A 20580-nucleotide genomic window follows, 5' to 3' on the forward strand; every position below is an offset into this window, starting at 1 on the left:
TAGCTGGGCCAACATGGTGAAACCCCATTTCTACTAAAATACAAAAAATTAGCCAGGCGTGGTGGCGCAGGCCTGTAGTCCCAGCTACTCGGGAGGCTGAGGCAGGGGAATCACTTGAACCCGAGAGGCGGAGCTTGCAGTGAGCCGAGATGGCGCCACTGAACTCCAGCCTGGTGACAGAGCCAGACTCCATCTAAATAAAAAAAAAAAAAAAAAAACAAGAAAAGAAACAAGGCCAGGCGCAGTGGCTCACGCCTGTAATCCCAGCACTTTGGGAGGCCGAGGGGGGCGGATCACGAGGTCAGGAGATAGAGACCATCCTGGCTAAAATGGCGAAACCCCGTCTCTACTAAAAGTACAAAAAATTAGCCGAGTGTGGTGTCGTGTGCCTGTAATCCCAGCTACTCGGGAGGCTGAGACAGAAGAATCCCTTGAACCTGGGAGGCAGAAGTTGCAGTGAGCTGAGATGACACCATTGCACTCCAGCCTGGGCGGCAGAGCGAGACCTCGTCTCCAAAAAAAAATAAAAATGATCCACATCACTTGAGCCTGGGAAGTGGAGGTTGCAGTGAGCTGAGATGGTGCCATTGCACTCCAGCCTGGGCAAAAAGAGCAAAACTCAATCTCAAAAAAAAAAAAAACAAAAAGAAAAAAAAGAAGAGCCAGTTGGGCCTGCTGGCTCACTCCTGGAATCCAGCACTTTGGGAGGCCAAGGTGGCCGGATCACTGGAGGTCAGGAGTTTGAGACCAGCCTGACCAACATGGTGCAACCCTGTCTCTAGTAAAAATGCAATATTAGCAGGGTGTGTGGCACATGCCTGTAATGCCAGCGACTCAGGAGGCTGAGGCAGGAGAATCACTTGAACCTGGGAGGCGGAGATTGCAGTGAGCCGAGATCGCACCACTGACTCCAGCCTGGGCAACAGAATGAGACTGTGTCTCAAAAAAAAAAAGTGGCCTGTAATCCCAGCAGTTTGGGAGGCTGAGGTGAGAGGATCACTTAGTCCAGGAGTTCAAGACCAGCCTGGGCAACACAGTGAGATCTCCCATCTCTTAAAAGAAAAAAGAAAAGGAAAGAAAAAAAGAAAAGAAAAGCGACTACTGATGATACCACTTAGAAAAGATCCGTAAAGTCCAAAGGAGAAGGAGAGCCCGAGGGAGGGGCACCACAGTCCTGGGAGAGGCCACAGTCCTGCCTGGAAAGAAAATGCGGGTGCTTGCCACCCTTCAGACTTTTGGCCCATCGGAAAGTAGGGGCCCCCTCACGCCGTCTAAGGGCTCCCTTCTTAGGGTCAAGGCTAGAGGCCCTGGTGCCAGGTACCCAGGACTTGCTAGACTGGCCAAATCTTGCACCTGCCAGGTCAGGGTCTCCAGCAGCTCCTGGCCATTCCTGAGCCCCCCGTCCAGTAGTCAAGACCCCCATCCTAAGTGAGCATGGAACCACCAGCCTCACAGCCCTCTGTTCCTCCCAGGAGACCTAGAGTCCATCCCTCCTGGGGCACCTGGGGAGACAGCAGGGCCCGGCTGCCTGCATCCAGACCATGCAGGGCCTCCAGCTCCCGTACTCAGCATGGCTGTGGGCCTTGCAGTTGGCTAAGATGGGGCCATCGCTGTGGGCCAGGCTCTGGAGGTGAGCAGGGAGGCCTAGGGTTCTGTTTTGGACACAAAAGGGGTGAGAGGCCCCCTGAGTGATCGAAGTGAAAACTTCAAGAAGGGCATCTTGTCTCGGCAGAGTCGGGCCAGGACGCGCCCCCACGGGTCTCAGGTCTTGGCAGGGTCGGGCCGGGACGCGGCTCCAGGGGTCTCGGCAGGGTGGGGCCAGGATACACCCCCAGGGGTCTCAGCAGGTTCCGGCTGGGACGCGGCTCCAGGGGTCTCGGCCCGGGGCAGTTCAAGCTGTAGTAACAATAGCTCCAGTTCTCATCTCTACCTGGCTGTTTCCATTCCACAATGGAGGCACTGAAAGGCTCCTGCCTTCTGAAGGGCAGGCACGGATGAGCCAGGATGAAGCCAGGGCAGCTTCCGAGTCAGGGCAGGTCCCTTCCGCCCCACACTGGAAAAGCGTATAGCTCCAGGCACCAGCGAGAAAGGCCAGGTGGAGCCATCTGCGCTCCAGCTCCATGGCACATGGCGGTTGCTAGGCTGAGAGCCACATCCACCTGCCTCCCCACCCAGCCTGGGCCACCAAGTCTGAAGAAGAGCAGAGAGCCATGGTCCAGAGAGAGCAGGGTGGGGAGAGACAGACAGAGAGAGCAGAACGGGAAGAGACAGAGAGAGGCAGACAGAGAGAGAGAGAGAGACAGACAGACAGACACAGAGAGAGCAGAACAGGGAGAGACAGAGAGAGTGAGACAGAGACAGAGACAGAGAGGCAGACACACAGAGAGAGAGAGAGAGACAGACAGACACAGAGAGAGCAGAACAGGGAGAGACAGAGAGACAGAGAGAGAGAGTGACAGAGAGAGGCAGAGAGAGAGAGAGAGAGACAGACACAGAGAGAGCAGAACAGGGAGAAACAGAGAGACAGAGAGCGAGAGAGACAGAGACAGAGAGAGGCAGACAGAGACAGAGAGAGAGACAGACAGACAGACACAGAGAGAGCAGAACGGGGAGAGACAGAGAGACAGAGAGAAACAGAGACAGAGACAGAGAGGCAGACAGAGAGAGAGACAGACAGAGAGCAGAACAGGGAGAGACAAAGAGACAGAGAGAGAGAGAGACACAGAGAGAGAGAGATAGAGAGAGGCAGACAGAGACAGAGAGACAGACAGACACAGAGCAGAACAGGGAGAGACAGAGAGAGAGAGACAGAGAGAGGCAGACAGAGAGAGAGAGAGACAGACACAGAGAGAGCAGAACAGGGAGAAACAGAGAGACAGAGAGCGAGAGAGACAGACACAGAGAGAGGCAGACAGAGACAGAGAGAGACAAACAGACAGACACAGAGAGAGCAGAACGGGGAGAGACAGAGAGACAGAGAGAAACAGAGACAGAGACAGAGAGAGGCAGACAGAGAGACAGACAGACAGACAGAGAGAGCAGAACAGGGAGAGACAGAGAGACACAGAGACAGAGAGGCAAACAGAGACAGAGAGACAGACAGAGAGAGCAGAATGGGGAGAGACACAGAGACAGAGACAGAGACAGAGAGAGGCAGACAGAGACAGAGAGAGAGACAGACAGACACAGAGCAGAACAGGGAGAGACAGAGAGAGAGAGACAGAGAGAGGCAGACAGAGACAGAGAGAGAGACAGACACAGAGCAGAACAGGGAGAGACAGAGAGAGAGAGAGACAGAGAGAGGCAGACAGAGAGAGAGAGAGAGACAGACACAGAGAGAGCAGAACAGGGAGAAACAGAGACAGAGAGCGAGAGAGACAGACACAGAGAGAGGCAGACAGAGACAGAGAGAGACAGACAGACACAGAGAGAGCAGAACGGGGAGAGACAGAGAGACAGAGAGAAACAGAGACAGAGACAGAGAGAGGCAGACAGAGAGACAGACAGACAGAGAGAGCAGAACAGGGAGAGACAGAGAGAGACACAGAGACAGAGAGGCAAACAGAGACAGAGAGAGAGACAGACAGACACAGAGAGAGCAGAATGGGGAGAGACACAGAGACAGAGACAGAGACAGAGAGAGGCAGACAGAGACGGAGAGAGAGAGCAGGGCGGGGAGAGACAGAGAGACAGAGACAGACAGAGACAGAGAGACAAAGACAGAGATAGAGAAAGACACAGAGAGGGACAGAGAGACATGGAGAGAGACAGAAAGAGAGGCAGAGACAGAGATGGAGAGAGGCAGAGACAGAGACAGAGTGAGGCAGAGAGAGATGGAGAGAGAGAGGCAGATAGAGAGACAGAGACAGAGAGAGGCAGAGAGAGATGGAGAGAGAGAGGCAGATAGAGAGGCAGAGAGACAAAGAGATGGAGACAGAGACAGACACAGAGAGAGGGAAAGAGGCAGAGAGATAGGGACAGAGAGAGATGGAGAGAGACAGAGACAGATACAGAGAGAGGCAGAGAGATGGAGACAGAGAGGCAGAGAGAGATGGAGGGAGATGGAGACAGGGACAGAGAGATAGGGAGAGAGAGAGATGAAGAGAGACAGAGAAACAGAGAGAGAGAAACAGAGAGAGAGAGAGAGAGCCAGAGACAGAGACAGAGAGATACATGGGAAGGAGAGGGAGAGAATGGAGAGAGACAGAGAGAGGGAGGGGAGGCTCCTCCAGGTAGAGCAGAAGGAAAGAAACTTCGGGGCGGGACTGGAAGGTGCACCAGGTCAGAAGGAGGGGTTGGGGGTCCCCATGCCCCTGGGAGGATAATGGGGCCAGCCGGGAAGGTGGCCAGCTAGGGAACGAGCAGTCTGTGCCAGTGACCACGAGCTCAGATGCAGACGCCCCTCCCTGGCAGGGACGCCCACTCCCAGGCCAAGGCTTGTCCCCTGGGCCTTGCAGGCTGCTCAAGCCACTTCTGCAAACCCTCAGCTGGACTCCATGCCTCTGAGAAGCCCCCAGAACTGGCAGGACAGGCCTGTGGCTATAGCCCGTGTGAGCCTAAGCTCACAAACAAGCCGGAATCCCACCGCAGGCCAGGGAGCCTCCGAAACTTCCCGGCTGCTCCCCAAGGAGCCGTGCTGCCCCAGCTCCCTGGACGCTGCCTTTGCTGGTAGAAGACATGGAAACACCCTTGCAGGTGACCAGGGCAGAAGGTGGCTGGAACGGGAAGCCCCCCACTCCCACCAGGCTGTCTACACACATCGCTGCACACCCCCTCTAGGGATGAGTCACTCCTCAGAGCTGGGCTCCTCCTCCCCCTCCCCCTCCGCCCCCCCCCCCCCCGCCTGTTTTTGCTTCCTCAGGGTCACCCCTGGCTGCAAGTGCCTCAAGGACAGCCTGGAAGAGCCTGTGGGGGAGGGAGGGTGGCATTCAGCACAGGATACACACAGGAGCCCCAGGCTGTCCTCTGCCCACCGTCCCCACCCCAGCTCTAGCTCTGCCAGGGAGGCCCAGGCAGGGAGGTGAGCCCCTCCGGAGCAGCCTAATTGCCACTGTCACAGCTCAAGTGTGTCGCCGTGGGAATGGGCTATTTCTAAGCACGGCAGGTACCGTCTTCCCCTTCCCCCGCCAACACAGCTGGCCCAGGACAAGAAGGTGCAGAGACAAACAGGGGGCACCCTGCCTGTCCTGCTAGGAACTGCAAGGCAGCGTGCCGCACACGCTGCCTGGGCCAATGCCACCCAGGCCAGGAGAGGGTTTGGGGCCAGACACCAGCCCATACCCAAGGGTCCCAGGGGATGTGGGGAGAAGGGGAATCCACCTTTTCCTTCCCTCCCACCTCCCAAATAACACACAGACAGCTCTGTTGGTCTGAGAATGATGGACATTTAGACACTGGCGCCAGGTTTGCGCCTGACCGGCGCCACGCAGGGGTGGGCGGAGCAAAGACACACAGGTGGGCTACAGGTGTCACACGGCACCAGCCAGGGCCCGGGGTGGCTGGGGTGAGGATGGGTGTTTGGCCAGTGACCAGGAGTCAGGTCAAGTCCAGGTGGTCAGTGCCAGGGGCTCCAGGAGGGGAGGGCAGTGCCATAACCCTCCTGGTGTCCAGCGTCACCAGGCGGTCGTCACAGAAAGCAACCTCGGCCCGGGGCCCGGGTCTGCAGCAGGTGGGCAGGGTCAGCTTTTCTTCCATGGCGGGTGGCATTGTCTGGGCCGGATACTGGCTCTCGACCCCTGGGCATGCAAAGGCTAGGGGTGGTGCTGTCAGTCACACCGTTGCCACCAAGGTCCCCTGGGTCGGCTGAGGCTTGGGATCCAGGCAGCGGTGGAAGGTCGGGCTGCTCAAGGCCGGTATCTAAGCTTCTGCCCTGGGACCCAGTGGTGATGGCCGCCATCTGCCCCATTCCCACAGGGACCTAGTCAGAGGTCGCACACACAAAAGGGGTACCTGGCCCTGGAGAACCACCAGCTGCCCGGGGTCTGAGAACACTCACCCTGGCCGCTGGGCCAGGCCTGCCAGGCTCCCGGCTGGTCCAACACCCTAAACGGTACAGAGCGCTGCAGGCCCTCACCTCATGCTTCTGCAGCGCTTGAGGGTGAAGGTGTCTCCAAGGGGACGCTGGCCAGATGCATGGAGAGGCCGGCCAATCTTAGGGCCACAGACCCCCCCTGGACAGCAGAGGGTGTTGGCTCCTGCAGTGGGCCCGAGATACTAAGGCACGAAGCTAACCTAAGCCCAGTGGGGTGGGGCGGGGCAGGACAGGCTTGGAGAGCTGCGCCCCAGGCCTGCAAAGCACAGTGACCGAGCAATGGCGACGGTCTGTCTGGGACAATTCGGCACAGGATGGAGGTGCGGGGTGAGCCGGAGTGCCCATGGCTCTTGCTGGAAGGGGCTCCATGCCCTGGCCGCCTCTATAAAGGCCTGCGGAGAGCGGGGAGAGCCCTGGATGCGGCTGGCACAGCAGCGCAAGCCCAGGGGCCAATCCGGGGCCAGAGTCTGGGAGTCTGACGCCCGGCTGGAAAGGGCGTGTGATGATGCCAAAGTGCCGGAGCCGTCGCCGGCAGGTCCTCCTCCGCGGGGATCTTAAGGAGGCAGCAGGAATGAGGAGAGGAGAGCGGGCGGAGGACCTGGGAGCTCAGGCGCCCTCAGGCAGGTGGCGCAAAGATGGGCGGGCGGCCTCGCGCTTCAGGGGTGTCTGCGCAGGCCGGGGCGCGCGAGGGCCGGGCGCATGAGGTTCTCGGTGATGTAGGCCACCAGCAGGCAGATGACCACCAGCATGACGCAGATGGAGCCGCCCACCGCCGTCATGGCCACCACGATGTCCTGCATGCCGGCCGGCTCGGCGGTGAACTCCACGCACTCGGCCGGCTCGGGGGTCTCTGGCGCGGCGGCGGCGGGCCCAGCGCGCAGCGGCAGCGGCTGCAGGCACAGGCGGTAGAGGACGCTGTCGTGCACGTCGGGCAGCAGGTAGTCGCGGCAGGAGGCCCCGAGGAGCACGCGCTCGCACGGGAAGCGCGTGTAGGCGCCGCGCCACGAGCAGTTGAGCGCGAAGGCGCGCACGCGGCGCGCGGCGGCCGGGGCCAGGCGCCACTGCAGGAGGACGCTGCGGTTGCGCAGGACGCTGGCGCGCAGGGAGCGGCCGGCCGGGGCGTGCAGCACGCAGCCCGGAGCCTGGCAGCGGAAGCCGCGCGCGGGGCTGCGGAAGCACAGGCGCCCGCCGCCCGCCTCGGGGCCCTCGGGCAGCACCTTGTAGGGGCACCAGGGCGCGTCGGGGGTCGGCTCCCAGCCCGGCGGCGTCGGGGCGGCCGCGGCGCAGGGCGGCGGCGCGCAGGCGGCCAGCAGCAGCAGCAGCGGCGGGGCGCGCATCCTGCGGCGGGGCCACGGGGCGCGGCGCTGGGTCACGCGGGCCGCGCCGCCGCCGTCCCCGCTGCCCGCTCCCCGCGATCCCCGGCGCGCCGCGCCCTCCGCCGCCGCCCGCTCCGACCCGCCCCCGCGCCCCGTGCGCGCTCGGACCCGGCGCGGCGGCGGAGGCGGGGCCGCCCCTCGCCCCGCCCCCCTTAACCCTCGCCGGGCCGCGGCCTACGGGTGCGGGGGATCGGGGGTGGGGGGGAGGAGGGGGACGCAGCGAGGCGGCCGGAGTGCCGGTGGGGCTGGGGTGCGGGCAGGGGCGCGGGGTGCGGGCAGGGCCGCCGCTCTCCCGGCTTCCCGCCTAGTGAGCGCACCTTGGACCCCTGCGGCTTTTCCGAGCCGAAACTCACGGGCTGTGGCCGGCTTCGTTTCGCGTCGTGCAGCTCCGCGACCGCCCGTGGCCACACCAGTCGGGGACTTCGTGCTTTACGATGGGGGCGCAGCGGTCTGGCACGCGCAGGACCCCGGGCCTTGCACCCCAACGCTGGCCGCCCTGGACCCGCGGCGGGGACCCGCGCAGTCAGGGTACCTGCCCATACCGATGGGGTGGGGACCAGCACGGAGACTTTCCTTCACCCCGCGGCTTCTGTTCCTTTCAGGACGGACAGCGCCCACCCGGAGGAAAGCCTGACAGATGAGACTTCGCAAGGTGAGAACTCCCTTCGCTCCACACGCAGCGGAGGCAGCTGCAGGGCGCCGACCTTCCCTGCCTCATTGCGCCCCCTCCTCCTCCAGATGCGCTCTGGGGGGCCCTCCCGATGGCTGTGGGGAGGTCAGGGCTGGACAAAGGGAATCCAAAAAGCCCACCCGGTGCACTGAGTAGGTGGCACCGACGGGGGAGGGGAAGGCGGGACACACCCCAAGACCCCTGCCCCTCATTCCCGTCCCTGCATAGATCACCCAGCAACCAGGACACCCCTCCAGGGCCAGGACTACAGCCAGGGACTGTGTATGCAGACGTGGCCGGGCCTGGCCGGCCTGCCCTAACTGGAAAGGAGGCCAAGCCTCGCACCTAAGGCTGGGCTGGCACCTCCGCTGAGCCAGCTCTGGGTCTGCAGGGGTTGTGGGGGGCTCTCTGGCAACTGGACCATGAGTTCCTGCAACCCCTTCCTGTGCTCTCCTTGCCTGGGGGCAGAGTGAGGAGAGACTGGCTATTCTGCTCACGGTGTCCTTGGTCCCCGACCTCTGGATGGCCATGTCTCCGCCCCCCCACGGAGTCACCACCCAGCCTCACGAATTCCTGGTCATCTTGAAAAACCCAGTGCAGTGGTCAGGACCCCACAGGATCTCAGGGGCTCTGCCAGAGCCCCGGCCCAGCGGTCAGGCCCCCACCAACTGTGGTCACGGTGCACCTCCGTCCCCGGCATGGAGGGCCCTGACCCCCTACACCAGCCTGTTGGGCCCCTGGCAGGGTCTGCTGAGGCCTCTGCACCTGGCGCAGAGAGGTTGGGGGCAGAGACCTTGGGAGAGGCGCTCCCTGCCCCCTGCCCCCAGCTCCCACCTCTGCTTAGGAAGGGCAAACCCTGGGCTCTGACTCTTGCCCCAGCGTTGTGAGGCGACTCAGGGGCTGCCCCAGGGAAGCAGAGAGTGATGGTGACTCAGGGGACCCCCATGTCCTTGCCCAGAACTCCCCAGGGGTTCAGCCGACCTACTGCCACCAGTTCCCAGTGGAAGCCCCTCAGCCCCCAGGTGTGAGGGCATGGGCAGTGGGGCAGGGCAGGAGCCTGGATGATGGTATATGGGGTGGGGCGGCCCCCAACTATCTTGGCATGTTGGCCTGAGGACAGCTGGGGCCTTCACCCTGTGCCATGACCATTCCAGCTTCTTGTAGCAGCACCTGCATTTCCCTCTGGGCAGCCCCCTTTATCCATCCTCAGGTCATGGGGAGCTTGGGTGGGGCTGACACTCCCCTGCCTAGGAGTTGGCAGATGACCTGGGCGCGGCCAGCCAGACTGGACCCCTTAGCCTCGAGGCCTTTGCTGAAGCTCATGTGAGGGGGCGACTGCCCCTGACAGGTGTTGGATTCCAGCTGCTGTGGCCCTGAAGGTGGGTGGTGGGAAGAACGGGAGAATGAAGCCAGCCTTGGGAGAGGTAGGACGCCAGCCCGGCCCAGCTGCTTCCAGCATCTGGATCCAGCCTCACCTGAAGCCAGCCACCTCCTGGACTGCAAAGTCATTGTCAACACCGAAACACAGGGTTTCTGACCATTGCAACCCAGGGTCCCGGCGTGTCGTGGCTGCAGACCCTGCAGACCCCTATGAAGATGGTCCTGCCTGCCTTGCATCGGGCCTCTAGCTAGGGACTGTGGTTGCAGACGTAGTTCTGGGACTGAGCTCCTGGTGAGAGGCCAGTGGTGAGGGAAGAGAGACCAGCAGAGAAAAGAGTGGAGCCTCGGGCTGCTAGCAGAGTGGCAGAAACCGAGCCTGCGAGAGGAAAACATTGTTTCCCGCGGCCTCCTGCTGAGCCATGGGGACCCAGATATTGCGAAGTCCAGCTGGGGCCAACCCTAAGGAAGGAAGGAGGGAAGGGGACAGGGAGGGGTGAGGAGGAGAGGGAGGGAGTGACCTCTGCTTAGCACCTGCACTTGAGCAGCGGTGGCCTTTCACGCGCACACGCTTCCCCACCTGGAGCGCCGTCTCCAATGCTGTTTGTACACACACCAGCATTCTGACAGTCACTAAATGTTTTCTTTGAATGAGTTCACTTTTTCACCTAGAGTGCTTTCTAAAAGCAGACCATGATCGTGAATAGTAAGTATCACTTCCATAAATAGAAAGTGTCAGAAAAATAACTATCAGACGTTTTCAGCTTCTTGTCTTGCTTGGAAGCATCAGACGGTCTCTGAAATGCTGTCCCTCTGCTCCCCAGGTTGGCCCATCCTCTGCCACAGCTTGAGCCCCACCCACGGGGTCCCTGCTTGATGAGTGCTTCCCCTGTCCTCTGAGACCCTACTTCTGCCCCCGGAGGGGTGTCTGTCCAGGGGACCCCTCAGAGGTCCCACCCAGCCACTCCTGATCTCCCCACACAGGTGACTGGGCCACGGGGGCTCGTGGGCAGCCCTGGCCAGGGCTCAGTCCTCACTGTAGCAGGGAAGCTGCCGGCCCTCTAGGCAGGCCGCCCTCTGGGAACCCCTCTTCTCTCCAACTGCCCCAGCTCCAGGACAGGTTGGAAATGCTTTTGCCTGGCAGGGGAAGGCTGGACCAGTAACGATGGAAGTCTCCAGCATTAGTGGAGACATGGGGGCGGGGGAGCTTCCAGAGACGAGGTGTCCTGCTGGCCATGGCCTTGAGGGAACCTTGCAGCTGGCACGGGGTCTGCTGGGACTTGAGCATGTGGGTCCCTGGGGACCTGGGGAATGGCTCCGATGCTTAGGAGCTGTAAGAATGAGAGCTCCAGGGCAGCAGCCACCCGCTTCTCATGGCCCTCACGACCCGCAGCCCCTTTACCCTGGGAGCTGGGTGCCAGTGTCAGCATCCTGGCACACGTGTCCCTTAGGGCTCCCGGGAGCCACCCTTTCCTGCCCCTGTGGGTCTCCCATTTCTCCAGCAGCAGTGACCGCTTTCTCTTCCAGAAATGTGCCCCTGTGAGCCCTTCACAACTTCTGGTCATGCCTCCAAAATTCCAGGGAGGGGACAGAGCCCCTGGTGGAGAGGTGGGTGCCCCCCACCCTCACTGCTTCTCCGCTGGTGCTGGGTAGGAGTGCCCCATTCTCACCAGATCCTGGGCTCGGAGCCCGGGCCAAATACTGACCTCAGTGGGATCAGAACCTGAAAGCCCCTCTCTGGGGTGACTTTCTCAAGTGCTATCCTCAGTCTCCCTGGGCTCTCGCAGGATGGGGTCCCAGTCCCTGCAGGTGCCTCAGCCCAACCACTGAAGCAGATGACACCTTGGCCCGGGCATCTCTGTGGCCCGAGCTGGGGGAGGAGGTGACTTCCTGGGTCCCATCCCAAGAGCATCCACAGTGGCGTCGCCAGTGGAGGGGTGAAGCTGAGGGGCCCCACAGACCCCAGGCCCAGGGCTTGGTGGCTGCAAGAGCTGGGAGGAGCCCCATCCTCCAGGGCCTTCAGGGAAGGTGGAGCGGACTCTTTCCCAGCAGCTGCCCGTTTCCTGCAGTGCTGGCTGCTTGTTACCGTGAGACTGACAGGTACCCCAGAGCTGAGCTTGTGCCTGCCAGAGCCTTCATCCAACTAACCCCCGATCCTTTGGGCCCTTTCTTTCCCTTCTTTCCTTTGCTTCTTTTTTTTTTTTTTTTTTTTTTTTTTTTTGTAGAGGCAGAGTCTCTTGCGTTGCCCAGGCTGGTCACACACTCCTGGCCTCAAGTGATTTTCCTGCCTCGGCCTCCCAAAGTGCTGGGATTACTGGCATGAGCCTGGCCTGCAGCGTTTTGAAGCATGTTTCTAGGGCAGGTGGTCAGCAGACCGGAAGCCACGGCCCCACCACCCAGGCCTCTGTTTTCTCCCTGGTAGAGCAGGGATGCAGCAGCCCCGGCTTCCAGGGTCCCCCTGAGGAAGCCCAGGCCACCCAGTTCTGAGCAATGGGGGTTGGGCAGTTTCTCCAGGTCCAGTGGTTCCATTAGACCCAAGTGGACTGGAGCACAGTGGACCCTCAGGGCTCACGGTGGACCCTCGGGGCTCAGAGTGGACCCTCAGGCCCTCACAGCAGACCCTTAGCACTCATAGTGGACCCTCGGGCTCACGGCGGACCCTCAGGTGCTCAGATACTTTGCACTTAGGAAAGGAGCTATGCCTCTTGGTGACCAGGTCACGTAGGAAATGAGCCTAACCTGGAACCCGCCCCTTGACTACCTGACCTCTAGTACAGACAGGCAGCGAGTCGGCAGGTGAGTGGCAGCAGTCAGGCCCAAAGGGCCACTGACCACTGGCTGTCCCCTGGTGCAGAGAGGAAAACTGAGGCTCAGAGGGCCCATGAGGCCAGGAAGTAGAGTCAGGTCCCACCGAGGGGCTTCTGCTGACCCAAGACCCTGTGGAGGGAACCTGGAAGTGGAGGGACCTGCAGGTGCCCTGTATTCCCCCCAGGGGCTTGCCATCCTCCTGCCCTCCCAGCGCCCAGGAGGCTGAGCCTTGGCAAGATGGCAGCTTTTGCCTAAAATGCATCAAAGTGAGCAGAAAGAGTGGTGAGCAAAGTAGAATCTGCTTGTTTCCGAGGATCAGCGAGAAGGCACATGTGAAGCTCACCCCGGTTCTGTCTGTTTCTGCTCTCCTACGAAGACCCCATATGGAGCCAGTGACAACCGGGGCCCGTGGGGAAGGCAGGACGAGGACTGGGCCACGCTGCTCAGCACAGGGTCAGCTGGCTGGACTAGGGTGGGCTGGCCAGGCGCGGAGTGGGCTGGTCAGGCGTGGGCTGGGCTGGTCAGGCGTGGGGTGGGGTGGTCAGGCGTGGGGTGGGGTGGTGAGGTGAGGGATTGTCTGGTCAGGTGTGGAGTGGGCTGGTCAGGTGTGGGCTGGGCTGGTCAGGTGTGAGGTGGGGTGGTGAGGTGAGGGGTTGTCTGGTCAGGTGTGGAGTGGGCTGGTCAGGTGTGGGCTGGGCTGGTCAGGTGTGGGGTCGGCTGGTCAGGTGTGGGCTGGGCTGGGCTGGTCAGGTGTGGGGTCGGCTGGTCAGGTGTGGGCTGGGCTGGTCAGGTGTGGGGTGGGCTGGTCAGGTGTGGGCTGGGCTGGTCAGGTGTGGGCTGGGCTGGTCAGGTGTGCGGTGGGCTGGGCTGGTCAGGTGTGGGCTGGGCTGGTCAGGTGTGGGGTCGGATGGTCAGGCGTGGGCTGGGCTGGTCAGGCGTGGGGCGGGCTGGTCAGGCGTGGGCTGGGCTGGGCTGGTCTGGTGTGGACTGGGCTGGTCAGGCGTGGGGTGGGCTGGTCAGGCGTGGGGTCGGCTGGTCAGGTGAGGGGTCGGCTGGTCAGGCGTGGGCTGGGCTGCTCAGGCGTGGGCTGGACTGGTCAGGCGTGGGCTGGGCTGGTCAGGCGTGGGCTGGGCTGGTCAGATGTGGGCTGGGCTGGTCAGGTGAGGGGTCGGCTGGTCAGGCGTGGGCTGGGCTGGTCAGGCGTGGGGTGGGCTGGTCAGGCGTGGGCTGGGCTGGTCAGGTGTGGGCTGGGCTGGTCAGGTGTGGAGTGGGGTGGTGAGGTGAGGGGTTGTCTGGTCAGGTGTGGAGTGGGCTGGTCAGGTGTGGGCTGGGCTGGTCAGGTGTGGGGTCGGCTGGTCAGGTGTGGGCTGGGCTAGGCTGGTCAGGTGTGGGGTCGGCTGGTCAGGTGTGGGCTGGGCTGGTCAGGTGTGGGGTGGGCTGGTCAGGTGTGGGACGGGCTGGTCAGGTGTGGGACAGGCTGGTCAGGTGTGGGCTGGGCTGGTCAGGTATGGGCTGGGCTGGTCAGGTGTGCGGTGGGCTGGGCTGGTCAGGTGTGCGGTGAGCTGGGCTGGTCAGGTGTGGGGTGGGCTGGTCAGGCGTGGGCTGGGCTGGGCTGGTCAGGCGTGGGCTGGGCTGGTCAGGCATGGGGCCGGCTGGTCAGGCGTGGGGCGGGCTGGTCAGGCGTGGGGCGGGCTGGTCAGGCGTGGGCTGGGCTGGTCAGGCGTGGGGTCAGCCTGGCCCCTGCCCGCTGGCTGCTCCAGCAGGCTCCACCACGGCGTCAGAATGTCCGTGGTGCTCCCGTTCCCGCTGCACGTGTCATTATGTCCTCTTTTCCACCACAGGTACCATATCCTGTTCTCTTTGGAAAAGCTCTACTCCACCTGTTCCCTAATCTTCGGTGTGCTTAAGCTCTGCAGGCCTGTCTATTTTTTTTCTTTTTCTTAAAACATTATTTTCTTTTCAGGAACCTGCCAGTTCAGGGAGGCCCACCTTTCTAGAAGGTTAACAGGAACTTCCAGCCTCCAGCCTACTTAGTGACCAGCTGCTGGAGGACAGTGAGTGGCCCCTGCTGTCCGCATCTCCACAGGGGTCACCAAGCGCACTCACAGGGTCCCCCTCCACCTGGAGCAGAGAATTCGGAGGAGCCCGTCTTGCTGTCTTTTCTGATGTTGTTAAACTATGCTTGGGCCTGTCCTTTGCTGAAAGGAGCTTTCTACACAGCTGGACTTCTGAGGTGGGACCTGCCACGTGCTAACTCTGGCACTCGGAGCGGTCTCTGCCACTGGCAATGTCCTGTCCTGAACATTTCCAGTGTGGCCTCTCTCCTGAAAGGCCTGTGTGCGACTTCTTTGTGAAGCCGGAAGAAAGTTCTGGGACTTCCCCTTCTCCTTTGGTGCAAAGTTACACTAACTGTCATGATGTTGTTGATTTCCTTTTTTTTTTTTTTTTTTTTGAGAGTCTCACTCTGTTGCCTAGACTGGAGTGCAATGGCGTGATCTCGGCTCACTACAGCCTCCGCCTCCTGGGTTCAAGTGATTCTCCTGCCTCAGCCTCCCAAGTAGCTGGGATTACAGGCGCCTGCCACCACGCCTGGCTAATTTTGTATTTGTAGTAGAGACGGGGTTTCACCATGTTAGCCAGGCTGGTCTTGAACTCCTGACCTCAGATGATCCGCCCACCTCAGCCTCCCAAAGTGCTGGGATTACAGGCGTGAGCCACCGTGCCCGGCCTTGATTTCCTTCTTAAGCAGAGCTGAGTCTCTGTCTCTGTCCACACCAGTGCCTCCTGGGCCTTCCTGAGCACGTGTGGCTGGCATCGCTTCCCATCTCTGCTCCCTGTGGCATCTTGCTGTGTCCCCGGCACCTCTGCAAAGCACAGCCACAATGCATGCTGAATGCATCAACATGCAGAATTCACTCACGGGTCACACAGTTAGTCAAAAATGTCGATGCCCTGCCAGATGGAGAGATGGGAGAGAATACGGATCCCTCCATGAGTCCAAGCCTGACGTGCACTCCCCTCGGGCCTCCTCTTCCTGTGCTCCAGGTTTTCTGTTTCAAGGCCGCTCTTCCCTTCCTTACTGTGTGTCAGCTCAGTCATGGATTTTAAACAATGCTTTCCATATATATATATAATATATGTACTATATATTATATATGTATATATATAATATGTATTATATATAATGTATGTATAATATATATAATTATATATATATGTATTTTTTTTTAGATGGAGTCTTGCTCTGTCACCCAGGCTGGAGTGCAGTGGTGCAATCTTGGCTCACTGCAACCTCTGCCTTCCGGGTTCAAGTCATTCTCCTGCCTCAGCCTCCTGTGCTTTCCATATTTTATACAGATTGTTTGCCAGGCACAGTGGCTCACACCCGTAGTCCCAACTACTTGGGAGGCTGAGGCGGGAGGACCCCTTGAGCCTAGGAGTTTGAGGCTGCAGTGAGCTATGATTGCACCCCTGCACTCCAGCCTGGGGAACAGAGCAAGATCCCCATCTCTAAAAAATAATTAAAAAATAGGCCGGGCGCGGCAGCTCATGCCTGTAATTCCTGCACTTTGGGAGGCTGAGGCAGGCAGATTGCTTGATGTCAGGAGTTGGAGACTAGTCTGGGCAGCACAGCGAGACCCCTGTCTCTACAAAATGTACCAAAAAAAAATTAGCTGGATGTGGTGGCACGAGCCTGTAATCCCAGCTACTCAGGAGGCTGAGGAAGGAGAATCACTTGAGCCCGGGAGGTCAAGGTTGCAGTGAGCCATGATTGCGCCTCTGTACTCCAACCTGGGCAACAGAGTGAGACCCTGTCTCAAAAATAATAATAATAATACCAATAAAACACATTATACAGATCTTTTATTGTTTCATTGAGAAGATCTTGCAGGTGACCTGACTTACCATATTGCTGAAAATAGTCATTGATTTCCTTAATCATTTGATTTTCATTCAGGGGCCAAATCTGGTCCACAAATATGTTATAAAAGTAGGTAACTGCGGCCGGGCACGGTGGCTCATGCCTGTAATCCCAAGACTTTGGGAGGCCGAGGCGGGCAGATCATGAGGTCAGGAGATCAAGACCAGCCTGGCTAACATGGTGAAACCCCGTCTCTACAAAAAATACACAAAAAAATTAGCTGGGCGTGGTGGCGGGCGCCTGTAGTCCCAGCTACTCAGGAGGCTGAGGCAGGAGAATGGCATGAACCCAGGAGGCGGAGCTTACAGTGAGCCGAGATCGTGCCACTGCACTCTAGCCTGAGTGACAGAGCGAGACTCTGTCTCAAAAAAAAAAAAAAAAAAAAGTAGGTACCGGCCGGACGCAGTGGCTCACGCCTGTAATCCCAGCACTATTGGAGGCCAAGGTGGGTGTATCACTTGAGGTCAGGAGTTCAAGACCAGCCTGGCCAACATGGTGAAATCCCGTCTCTACTGCAAAAACTCAAAAATTAGCCAGGCGTGCTGGCACGCGTCTGTAGTCCCAGTTACTCTGGAGGCTGAGGCAGAAGAATCACTTGAACCTGGGAGGCGGAGGTTGCAGTGAGCCAAGATAGTGCCACTGCACTCCAGCCTGGGCAACACAGTGAGACTCTGTCTCAAAAAAAAAAAAAAAAAGGTACCGGCCAGGTGCGGTGGCTCACGTCTGTAATCTCAGCACTTAGGGAGGCCGAGGCAGGTGGATCACTTGAGGTCAGGAGTTCAAGACCAGCCTGGCCAACATGGTGAAACCCCATCTGTATTAATAGTAAATCCAAAAATTAGCTGGTTGTGGTGATGCACGCCTGTAGTCCCAACTACTCGGGAGGCTGAGGCGGGAGAATCACTTGAACCCAGGAGGTGGAGGTTGTAGTGAGACAAGATTGCGCTACTGCAATCCCACCTGGGCAACAAGAAGGAAACTCTGTCTCAAAAAAAAAAAAAGAAAAGAAAAAAGAAAAAACATATTGTCCTGGCTGCTGAGGGGCCTAAGGCCACACACGTGGCAGTTAGCTCAGCCGTGCACCTGTGGGAGTGACAGACCTCAGCCTGGAAGACATTATCTGTGGATCTCCAGTGCAAAAGTGGCCAGTACCAAAATGGAGTCACTTATGTCAAACCCTGAAAAATGGAGCCAGGAGGCCACGAAGGACGGGCTCTCCCAGGTGTGCCAGGAAAGAAACTACGGAATTTCTCAAAACCACAGTACTGCCGCTAAGCTGCCTGCACGAGGACGCTTGCCTGACAAGGGCCGTCTTCACCTCCAGATGAATGCCAACTCCTGCAACAAGCCTGATACAGTTTGGCTGTGTCCCCATCCAAATCTCATCTTGCATTTCCCACAATCCCCACGTGTTGTGGGAGGGACCTGGTGGGAGGTAATTGAATCATGGGGCCAGTTACCCCCATGCTGTTCTCGTGACAGTGAGTTCTCAGGACATCTGGTAGTTTTATAAGGAGCTTTTCCCCTTTGCTCAGCAGGTTTCTCTCCTGCAGCCAGGTGAAGGATGTGTTTACTTCCCCTTCTGCTGTGATTGTTAAGTTTCTTGAGCCACGTGGAACTGTGGGTCAGGTAAACCTCTTTCCTTTATAAATTACCCAGTCTCAGGCAGTTCTTCGTAAGACCGTGAGAATGGACTAACACAAAGTCCCCGTCACCTATGCTCTTTGCTTCAAAGCAGCTTAGGTGGGCTTCTCCTTTCTGTTTTTTTAGAAGCTTCCCCTGTCCCAGCCTCTCTGGATGTGCCTGTGGTCTGCCATAGCACGCATATCCCAAACTGCAATTCCCCGTCATTCCTGGAGAAACTCTTTGGAGAGTCATCTCTCTGCTGTTGTGGCCATAGCGGGCCCATTTCCTGATGCATGGAATGTCACTGCGCCAACACCACGGGTTGCAGCAGAAAGAGAGTTTTAATCCTAAGGCTGCTGTACAAGGAGATGGCGTGAAGCAAGCAGGCTGCAGGGATCTTGTGGCCATCCGGGGGTCTCCCCATTGCTTCTGGTTCCCTCGGCCCATTTCTTTGGAATCCTGCCGACGCTGCTGTTTCATCCCTCCAGCCCACAGCTAGAATCACCCCAAAAGTGGCAGCAGGCAAGTTCCAACAAGGGACTGCCTCAAACCATCCTGAGGTGGGGCTGGTTGGTCCCAAAGAAAAGAAGCACTAAACGCCAGGGTGATCGGCCCAAAGCATTTGTTCGGGGAATTTATGTACAGAGGGAGGCAGCACATCCTCGGGCTGACAGCAAGAGATGGAGAGGTTCCACCTAGGAATGCCTGCACCCAGGGGCTAGAGTGGAGAGTTTTACAGGAGGATTTAAGAAATGTGACTCTTGTTTCCACATATTTAGCAACATGTTTGATCTCTCAGTGTTTCAGACAACAACCTAGTTCATCAGTAACTGAGAATACTCAAGGTCCTGGCCGGGCTTCAAGACTGCAGGGAAAGCATGCAGTGGGCCAGGCTCTGTGCTTCTCAGGCAGGACACAGAGAGAAAGCAGGGGCTCTGGTGAACCTTCCAGTAGAATAAGCAACTGTCCAGACATGGGCCCTCCCCAGGAAGTTACTAGGGGTCTTACTTCAGCAAAGTAAAGGAGTAAAGCCAGAAGGAGGAGGACGCAGATTCCAGGAAACAGCTGTTAACAGAAAAGCCAAACTCTGAATAAGACATTCTTTCCTCCTTCTTTTTTTTTTTTTTTTTTTTTGGAGACAGAGTTTTGCTCTCGCTGCCCAGACTGGAGTGCAACAGCGCAATCTTGGCTCACTGCAGCCTCTGCGTCCCGGATTCAAGTGATTCTCCTGCCTCAGCCTCCTGAGTAGCTGGGATTATAGGCGTGTGCCACCACGCCCAGGTAATTTTTGTGTTTTTAGTAAGAGACGGGGTTTCACCACGTTCCTCAGGCTGGTCTCGAACTCCTGACCTCCTGATCCGCCCGCCTCGGCCTCCCAAACTGCTGGGATTACAGGCGTGAGCCACCACGCCCGGGCTCTTCTTTTTTTTAAAGAGGGCTTCATTCTGTTGCCCAGGTTAGAGTGCAGTGGTGCGATCTCAGCTCACTGCAGCCTCCGTTTCCCAGGCTCAAACGATCCTCCCACCGCAGCCCCCAGAGTAGCTGGAACCATAGGCACGTGCCACCACACCCAGCTAAGTTTTGTATATTTTGTAGAGATGGGATTTCAACATGTTGCCCAGGATGGTCTCTAAATCCTGGGCTCAAGTGGTCCAATCACCTCAGCCTCCCAGAGGGCTGGGATTACAGGCATGAGCCACCATGTCCAGCTTCACAAAATACTTTCAAAAGGTTTACTTTGAGCCAATATGAATGACTGTGGGCCCCAGGAAAACACACATCCGAGAAGCCTTCAGTAAGTGGTTCTGAAGTGGTCGGTTTAGTTTGGTTTTGTACACTTTAGAAAGGCAGGAGTTATAAGCAAAGACATAAATACATACATAGAAGGTATACGTTGGTTTGGCCTAAAAAGGTGGGATATCTTGAAGTGGGGGCTTATAGGTTATAGGCGGATCCACCCGGCTGGAAACTCAGTTTTAAAAATTTCTCTGGGGTCCCCTTGGTCAAAAGGGAATCTGTTCAGTTGGTGGAGGGCTGGCTGGGTGTGGTGGCTCACATCCCAGCACTTTTGTTTTTTCTTTTTCTTTTCTTTTTTTTTTTTTGTTTTTTTTGTTTTTGAGACGGAGTCTCACTCTGTCACCCAGGCTGGAGTGCAGTGGCCAGATCTTGGCTCACTGCAACCTCTGCCTCCTGGGTTCAAGCAATTCTCCCACCTCAGCCTCCCAAGTAGCTGGGACTACAGGCGAGCACCACCAAGCCCGGCTAATTTTTGTATTTTTAGTAGAGATGGGGTTTTGCCATGTTGGCAAGGCTGGTCTCCAACTCCTGGCCACAGGTGATCCTCCCACCTTGGCCTCACAAAGTGTTGGGATTACAGGCGTGAGCCACTGTGCCTGGCTGGTTTTTTTTCTTTTTTTTTTTTTTTGAGACAGAGTCTTCCTCTGTCACCAGGCTGGCGTACGGTGGCATGATCTTGGCTCACTGTAACCTCCGATTCCTGGGTTCAAGCCATTCTCCTGGCTCAGCCTCCCAAGTAGCTGGGATTACAGGTGCCCACCACCACACCCAGCTAATTTTTGTATTTTTAGTAGAGACGGGGTTTCACCATGTTGGCCAGGCTGGTCTCGATCTTATGACCTCATGATCTGCCTGCCTTGGCCTCCCAAAGTGCTGGGATTGCAGGCATGAGCCACCGCGTCTGGCTTTTTTTTTTTTTTTTTTTGAGACGGATTCTTGCTCTGTTCCCCAGGCTGGAGTGCAGTGTCACGAT

General features: G+C 58.3%; 1 protein-coding gene and 1 long non-coding RNA gene across 2 annotated transcripts, besides 9 other annotated features; one reads left to right on the plus strand and one right to left on the minus strand.

Annotated features, from left to right (window-relative positions):
* Positions 1327–2175: an enhancer, noted in NCBI's record as "H3K27ac-H3K4me1 hESC enhancer chr1:1529354-1530202 (GRCh37/hg19 assembly coordinates)". NCBI's record gives its function as "activates a minimal SCP1, AML or CMV promoter by ChIP-STARR-seq in primed H9 embryonic stem cells {active_cell/tissue: H9 hESC(primed)}" and the evidence as "EXISTENCE:reporter gene assay evidence [ECO:0000049][PMID:30033119]".
* Positions 4817–4866: a silencer, noted in NCBI's record as "silent region_80". NCBI's record gives its function as "represses an Ori minimal core promoter by ATAC-STARR-seq in GM12878 lymphoblastoid cells {active_cell/tissue: GM12878}" and the evidence as "EXISTENCE:reporter gene assay evidence [ECO:0000049][PMID:35858748]".
* FNDC10 (fibronectin type III domain containing 10) lies at positions 5365–7488 on the minus strand. Its single transcript, NM_001242659.2, has one exon. It carries the CDS (start codon positions 7366–7368, stop codon positions 6688–6690), a length of 681 nt encoding a protein of 226 aa, NP_001229588.1. The 5' UTR covers positions 7369–7488; the 3' UTR covers positions 5365–6687.
* Positions 5983–6641: an enhancer, noted in NCBI's record as "H3K27ac-H3K4me1 hESC enhancer chr1:1534010-1534668 (GRCh37/hg19 assembly coordinates)". NCBI's record gives its function as "activates a minimal SCP1, AML or CMV promoter by ChIP-STARR-seq in naive H9 embryonic stem cells {active_cell/tissue: H9 hESC(naive)}" and the evidence as "EXISTENCE:reporter gene assay evidence [ECO:0000049][PMID:30033119]".
* Positions 6642–7301: an enhancer, noted in NCBI's record as "H3K27ac-H3K4me1 hESC enhancer chr1:1534669-1535328 (GRCh37/hg19 assembly coordinates)". NCBI's record gives its function as "activates a minimal SCP1, AML or CMV promoter by ChIP-STARR-seq in naive H9 embryonic stem cells {active_cell/tissue: H9 hESC(naive)}" and the evidence as "EXISTENCE:reporter gene assay evidence [ECO:0000049][PMID:30033119]".
* Positions 6786–14563, plus strand: LOC105378586 (uncharacterized). Its single transcript, NR_147951.1, has 3 exons — positions 6786–6969; positions 8010–8059; positions 14226–14563. It is a non-coding gene; the product is annotated as an uncharacterized LOC105378586 (long non-coding RNA).
* Positions 7095–7214: a silencer, noted in NCBI's record as "silent region_81". NCBI's record gives its function as "represses an Ori minimal core promoter by ATAC-STARR-seq in GM12878 lymphoblastoid cells {active_cell/tissue: GM12878}" and the evidence as "EXISTENCE:reporter gene assay evidence [ECO:0000049][PMID:35858748]".
* Positions 7302–7961: an enhancer, noted in NCBI's record as "H3K27ac-H3K4me1 hESC enhancer chr1:1535329-1535988 (GRCh37/hg19 assembly coordinates)". NCBI's record gives its function as "activates a minimal SCP1, AML or CMV promoter by ChIP-STARR-seq in naive H9 embryonic stem cells {active_cell/tissue: H9 hESC(naive)}" and the evidence as "EXISTENCE:reporter gene assay evidence [ECO:0000049][PMID:30033119]".
* Positions 7515–7564: a silencer, noted in NCBI's record as "silent region_82". NCBI's record gives its function as "represses an Ori minimal core promoter by ATAC-STARR-seq in GM12878 lymphoblastoid cells {active_cell/tissue: GM12878}" and the evidence as "EXISTENCE:reporter gene assay evidence [ECO:0000049][PMID:35858748]".
* Positions 7962–8621: an enhancer, noted in NCBI's record as "H3K27ac-H3K4me1 hESC enhancer chr1:1535989-1536648 (GRCh37/hg19 assembly coordinates)". NCBI's record gives its function as "activates a minimal SCP1, AML or CMV promoter by ChIP-STARR-seq in naive H9 embryonic stem cells {active_cell/tissue: H9 hESC(naive)}" and the evidence as "EXISTENCE:reporter gene assay evidence [ECO:0000049][PMID:30033119]".
* Positions 8978–9120: a silencer, noted in NCBI's record as "fragment chr1:1537005-1537147 (GRCh37/hg19 assembly coordinates)". NCBI's record gives its function as "represses an EF-1alpha promoter that drives an FKBP-Casp9 reporter gene in an ReSE screen in HepG2 liver carcinoma cells {active_cell/tissue: HepG2}" and the evidence as "EXISTENCE:reporter gene assay evidence [ECO:0000049][PMID:32094911]".

The sequence above is a fragment of the Homo sapiens genome, chromosome 1 (assembly GCF_000001405.40).
Source record: "Homo sapiens chromosome 1, GRCh38.p14 Primary Assembly".
NCBI lineage: Eukaryota > Metazoa > Chordata > Mammalia > Primates > Hominidae > Homo > Homo sapiens.